The sequence below is a fragment of the Homo sapiens genome, chromosome 11, assembly GCF_000001405.40.
Source record: "Homo sapiens chromosome 11, GRCh38.p14 Primary Assembly".
NCBI classification, from domain to species: Eukaryota; Metazoa; Chordata; class Mammalia; order Primates; family Hominidae; genus Homo; species Homo sapiens.
Window position 1 is genome coordinate 107,706,592 of NC_000011.10, and position 6,272 is coordinate 107,712,863.

At 38.9% G+C, this 6,272-nt stretch overlaps 1 protein-coding gene across 1 annotated transcript, besides 1 other annotated feature; it reads right to left on the minus strand.

The window, feature by feature from the left end:
• Nucleotides 1-786: 786 nt before the first annotated feature.
• Nucleotides 787-5,465, minus strand: SLN (sarcolipin). The gene is made up of 2 exons (NM_003063.3): nucleotides 5,372-5,465; nucleotides 787-1,414 (listed from the first exon to the last, which is right to left on the minus strand). The coding sequence occupies exon 2, from the start codon at nucleotides 1,337-1,339 to the stop codon at nucleotides 1,244-1,246; it is 96 nt and encodes a 31-aa protein (NP_003054.1). The 5' UTR covers nucleotides 1,340-1,414; nucleotides 5,372-5,465; the 3' UTR covers nucleotides 787-1,243.
• Nucleotides 1,134-1,925: an enhancer, noted in NCBI's record as "OCT4-NANOG hESC enhancer chr11:107578451-107579242 (GRCh37/hg19 assembly coordinates)". NCBI's record gives its function as "activates a minimal SCP1, AML or CMV promoter by ChIP-STARR-seq in primed H9 embryonic stem cells {active_cell/tissue: H9 hESC(primed)}" and the evidence as "EXISTENCE:reporter gene assay evidence [ECO:0000049][PMID:30033119]".
• Nucleotides 5,466-6,272: the final 807 nt, after the last annotated feature.

Below are 6,272 nucleotides of genomic sequence, written 5' to 3' on the forward strand. Positions count from 1 at the left end.
TCACCCCTGGGATAATTGACTTTCTTTGAATGCAGCCAAAGGTTAAGAACTATAATGTGATGTAGTCAATGCCTCAATGACAGGTCAAATTCTTGGCAAGAAATGCCTTCATGAAGGCGGCTATGTAAGATGAGGTTTAACAACATTCCCTTTCTCCATGGTTACCTCAGCACAAATAGCAAATTTGTTCTGTCTAACATGGGGTGTTCAGGCAACACGTTTAAGAAACATCTATTTTATATGTCTTTTATAAACATATAAGTTTGCATTTTCTATTTTCCTCCTTTTAGAACTGTAGTTGATTAAAGACTAGCTCCATTTGTGTAATAACAATAATCAAAATAGACTATGCTACTCTTAGGGACATGACTCATGTTCTTGTGTTACTTAGTGTAAATAATTTTAAATATTTATATGAAAACAAACATGAAGATATTATAAGATAGAAAATACATTTCTTGTGGATTCTAAAGATAAAACACAAGACTTCAAAGAAATGTTGCACTTTTAGCCAGCAATTCAGCCTGTGCTTCAGACCCCGTAGTGGAATGGATTTATTCTCCCTCTGCCCTTCAGACTAGTTTAGGGGAAAAGTTTGAGGAGCGCTGAACCAATGGAATTACTTGAAATATGACACAGTGTGTTGACTTGGTTTCAAATCTTCAGCAGTTGGAGCATCTTGGCTTACCTCAAATGCTAGAAATACGGTAGCACTTGTCACTCCAATCCCAGCCAAGGGTCAAATGCTCTGTCACACATGGAAGCTAAAATAAGTTCTAGAAGTTGTTTTTGAAGTTGACTTAACTTTATTCACATGATAGCTATAAGGGCTGACAAAGACTTCCTCTAACATTCCTTCTGGCAGGTTGAATTAGAGTTTGGTTGCAGACCGTGTGGGTTGAAGGGATGTGTGGTGAGACAGATCAGGGGCTTGTAACAATCCTACATCATCATGAATCCAGTTTAATTTTAACTTTGTGGCTTGTCTAACACATTTTCAGTTAAGAGTTGGGGAATAAATCTACCGTTCCCTGGCAAACACTTGGCAGCCCTTGGGAGCAGCATCTTTGGAGAACACATAATCAATCCTAGCACTACAGCATAGCAGATATTGTGAGTGCAGGTCACAGGTGCCCTCGGATGGAGAATGGCATCCTGTGACAATGACAGCAGTGGGGTCTCAGGGCATAGAGCAGGCAGCTCCGGAGCATCTCAGTCAATCCCAGGACCATGGCATGGCCTCTCAGTACTGATAGGACCTCACAAGGAGCCACATAAGAATAACCGTAATCAAGACAATAGTGAAGTTGAGAAACAGCTCCCGGGTGTTTATCCCCATTTTCACAGCGGCTTGGTGAGAACTGCAGGCAGATTTCTGAGGGCACACCAAGGACCTCTGGCTTCTCCTCACCTCCTGATAAAACATAACAAAGAAAACACAAGGAGATTAATGGGCATTCCTGTATAACAATGCTCGTTCTTTCCTCAAAGGAAACAGAAGTGTTGTGGAAAAGGAGAGTGTGATGGGCTAAATTGTGTCCCCCAAAAATCTACATGTCAAAGCCCTAGCTCACAGTATCTCAGAATGTGACTGTGTTTGAAGATAGGGTCTTTTAAGAGGTAAATAAGTTAAAATTAGGTAATTAAGGAGGGCCCTAATCCAATATGACTAGTGTCTTTATCAGAAGAGATTAGGACACAGACACATGCAGAGGGGAAGACCATGTGAAAACACAAGGAGAAGATGGGCATTTACAAGCCAAAGAAAGGACTCAGAAGAAACCAACTGTGCCAACACCTTGATCTGGGACATGTAGCCTCCTGACAGTCTTTGGACTGGAGACTTCCCTAAGTCTCCAGCCTACCAGCCCACCCTGCAGATTTTGGACTTGCCAGTCTCTGCAATCGCACAAGCCAATTCCTTAAAAACAGACACCAATCCCCTCAACACAACACATTCTATTAGTTATGTTTCTCTGAAGAGCCCTAATGATTACAGAGAGAGAGCCTGATTTCTCTGCCTGATGTCATAAAGACCACCATTTTTGTCCTGACTTTTTTCCTGTGATGATCGTATTGGTGCTTTTCATAAAATGTGAAATATTACATTTTTCTTTCTCCAACTTCTGTGTGTGTTTGCGTGTGTGCGTATGCATGTGTATACTTTTCTTAAGAGTATCAATAAGCAGGGGTACCAAAACAAAAAAATTTTATGGTTTAGTATTGTTCTTGCTTTGAATTACATAGATAAGTGGGATGCCATAATCTTTCAGGCCTCAGGCTGCTGTAGGTCTTCATCTAACTCTACGGAAAGCAGAAAGTACTTTCAACAGCTGCATGGCCTCTGACAAGTCCTGCATTGGGCACATAGCCTACTGGGATCAACCAAAAGCCCCTGGCATAACAGGCATTCAGCCGAAAGAGCAAGTGTTAACTTCATGGGTACTTCGGTTTCAACAAGGGCTTGTGCCAGCTATTTTTAGTCAGGTCCAGGATGTGCCTAGATTGTAAACATTTCAAAGAGCAGGGATGGTATCTTCATAGTATGTACAGATTGTCCATACAGGAAATCATACTTTGAGAACATGTGCAATGAAGTCATCAAACTATTGTCTTCAGTGAGATGGTGTAAATTGCACATTATTTATGCAGCCTAAATGAAATTAAAGATTTATATATTTTAGATAATTCGATATCTATGTTTTAGACATTTAGGACCAAAGTCTACTGTAGAGTGAAAGTTTAGGGAGAAAGGGTATTTTGTGTGTTTGCTAAAGGTGAGAGTTCAAGAGGCTGAAAGGGTTGTTAGCAAGCTTTTGGTCTGAGTGGTATTTTTAAACTATCTAGCATGACTGAATTATTAATTGTAATTACTGTATTGATTATATTATCAATGGACCAAATTGTTAATTGCATAAATGCCAACTGAATGATCATTTTTCATATTGTGTAATTGGCATAACATACAGGTTCAGCCAGGCATGGCAGTCGGTACCTGTAGTCCTAGCTAATTGGGAAGCTGAGGTGGGAGGATCCCTTGAGCCTAGGAGTTTAAGACCAGCTTAGGCAACATAATGAGACCCTGTCTCAAAAAAAAATACAAGTTCAAATCAGATGGTGCCAACCAGTAGATATATAGCCAAATGATGACAGATTTATATTTCATCTCCCTTTTAATTATTATCCATCTTTTAGACCTCAGCATGAAGGAAATAGTAAATTGCCAATGAAAACCATTACAAATGGCTGGGCGTGGTGGCTCATGCCTCTAATCCCAGCCCTTTGGGAGGCTGGAGTGGGAGGATCACTTGAGCCTAGGAGTTCAAGACCAGCCTGGATAACACAGCAAGACCCTGTCTCTCCAAGAAAATAAAAAGGGGAAAAAATAGAAAATCTTTACAAAGATTTGCATGGAGGAGAAAGTAAACAGAATAAAATGAATGGATCAAGGAAAAAGGATTTATGAGAATGTACAAAAGAGCAGAGGAGAACAGAACGGTAATGAGTCTTGCCAAGGTGCCTGGAGGCAAAGGAATGAGAAACGAAGACAGACTCTTTCTTATAAACTTATCAATGAAATAAAACCATAGTCCAAATGTCCATCTATTTGGGTAAGTTCTCAAGAAATGCAGAGATAAGCAGAAAATATGAAGCCTGGCTTATAATGGTCAAAACAATTCAAGGAGAGCAAAACAACGGTCCCACCAAATCTGCCTATTAAATTAAGCTGTTAAGTCATGGGAATCATGGATAGTGATCCAACAGGATATACTCAGAAAATGAGAAAAATACTATTGAAAGCTGTTCCACAGCTCTGTTTGTGTTACCTTCGCAACAACTCAGGCAAGTGTTACTGCAGTTTTTATCTTTCTCAAGATTACAGCTGAGAAACTGACTTTTAGAGAGAGGAGATTAAGATGTTTGTGTAATGACAGATAACAAGTTAGAGGCAAAGCTAGAATTAGCAGACTGGAACTAGTTACTAGAATTCCTAGGAGTTATGACACAAGTGAATTGTCACTGCAATTAACTGGCCTGGCTAAACAAAGTTAGCATAAATTTTCAACCACTTTGGAAAACAATTTAGCTTTCTTAGAATTAATGTTGAAAATGTTCATTCTCTAATATCTGGCATTTCACTTCTACCTTAAGACAGTCAAGGACGTGCGTGCCAGGTTACATAAATAAAGAGTTCACAGCAATATTATCACAATAACTCCAAACTGGAAACAACTCAAATGTTTATCAACAGCAGAATGGATGATAAATTGTGGTATAGTTATACATTTGAATTTCATAAAGCAAAGAAAATATATGAACTATAGCTACACAGAAAATGGGTAGATCTCACAAATATAATTGTTGGGTGAAAGAAGAATTTACAAAAGAAACAGAGAATATGACTCCATTTATATGATGTCAAAAATAGGGAGGTTAATCATATTGTTTAGGCATGCAGACATAGATGGTCAAATTATAAAGAATAACAGGGACAAGAGGATCCCAACATCTTGGGGCAGAATGGGGGTTGATCAAGAATGGGCTTCTGGGTGCTGGCAATGATCTGTTTCTTGACCTGGATGATAATTATAGAAGTGTTGCCTTTCAGTTATTGTTTAAACTGTGTATGTTTATGCACTCTTAACTTTTTTTTTTTCAGTCATTTCTGAATTAGCAGGCTACCCATCACACTTCTTTCTTTCTTGGGATTTACCTCTTACTACTTCTTGCACTTTAATGGTGACCTTGAATATTTGTTGTTTTATGTGATTTTAGATGAATAAAACATGAAGAGTTAAGGTGAGAATTTCTAGTGAATTCAATTCAATCAACACATATGCTAACTGTAAGGTGTGGTGTGAACATTCCTTTCACACACATTTATACACTTTAGGAAGAATGAACCAGTTAGGCAGAAATTCAGATCAGCCAAGTTCCATTTTTCTGCTTTTAACCAATAAAGACACTTTGGGTTTCATTTTAAACATTCCCTGAAGTCAAGGTCATGCCATATGATCCAGTGATTGCAAATGGATGAACTAAAACCCAAAAAGCTCTGAATAAATTGTGCAGGAAGTTTGACATTGGCTTTCTTTGAATGGAGACTTAGAGAAGATAGAAAAAAGACCATCTTCCATAATACAAGAAAGAAAAAAAATTTTTTTTTACTAGGAAGGGAGAAAATGCATACCCTTAGGAGAAAAAAAAAGGAAAACAGAAAGCAATAGTACTCACTTTATATCTTAAGGCATGCTGTATCCAAGGGGCATTGCCTATTTCATTAAGAAATGCAAACATTCCTCTGCCTTTCTCATTTGCAGCTTGTACACACACACACACCGTATGCTAAGCATAAAAATCCTGCAGTTACCTGAAGAGGATCAAAGACACACCCTGGCTATGGCAGGTTTCTCCTCGCTGTCTCCAACTTGAGCTCCAACTCCTTCTCCCCTCCCAGGCTGTCTGGACTCCTGGACTCTGGGCAGCGCCTAAAGTAGTCCGTGGAAGCTGGCAATCACTGTGATGTCACTGATGAAACATCTCAAAGGAACACCCTCCGAAGGTTCGAGGCTATTTGTGTTCGGGGGACATGGAAATATGTTGACTAAGACTTTGTTCCTTTGGCTGCCAATTTGCCACCACCAGGATTTAAAAACCTTCTGTTTCCAGTTGACTTTTAGTGCAATTGATGTGGGTTTTAAATGTGTCTTTTACATCTTCATGAATAACTTTAACATGTCTTTAAAACATCATAAACCAAGAATGATAGACTAATTTTAACCAATCGATGCTGCATTTGACTGCTCTCCCTAGTCAGCCTGTGAGGTGTAAAAATGTGACTTCATTTTACCACCCATATCTTTAGTTATTTGAAATGTGAAGAGTTTGCTGCCTTACACCCACACATATGCACACCCATACACACACACACACACTCCAGAATTCAATAGGCATCTTTAGCTCTTTCAAAACTGACTTTAGTCCAAGCAGTGAAAGCTATCCCCTCCGTCACCTGCTCCACGTAACTTTCCAGCTAAGCTGTGCATTGCAAGTTTACACGTGGATCTACAGTTTCATCTGAAACAGCCGAGGAAGTCATGGTTTGTATATCTCTGGCAATAAATTAATAGAGCAGTAAACTCACACAGTTCAACTCAGTTATTTGGATAGATTGGGAGTGGAAGGAGAACTGGGTAAAATTAGTGAAAAATGTGAATTATAGAATATATCTGAAAGAAAGAAAAGTATTATATAACTTTCTAATATGAACA

Bases quoted from the DNA above. Each gene is read 5' to 3' on its own strand.
- SLN (NM_003063.3), bottom strand. From the start codon at position 1,339: ATGGGGATAAACACCCGGGAGCTGTTTCTCAACTTCACTATTGTCTTG.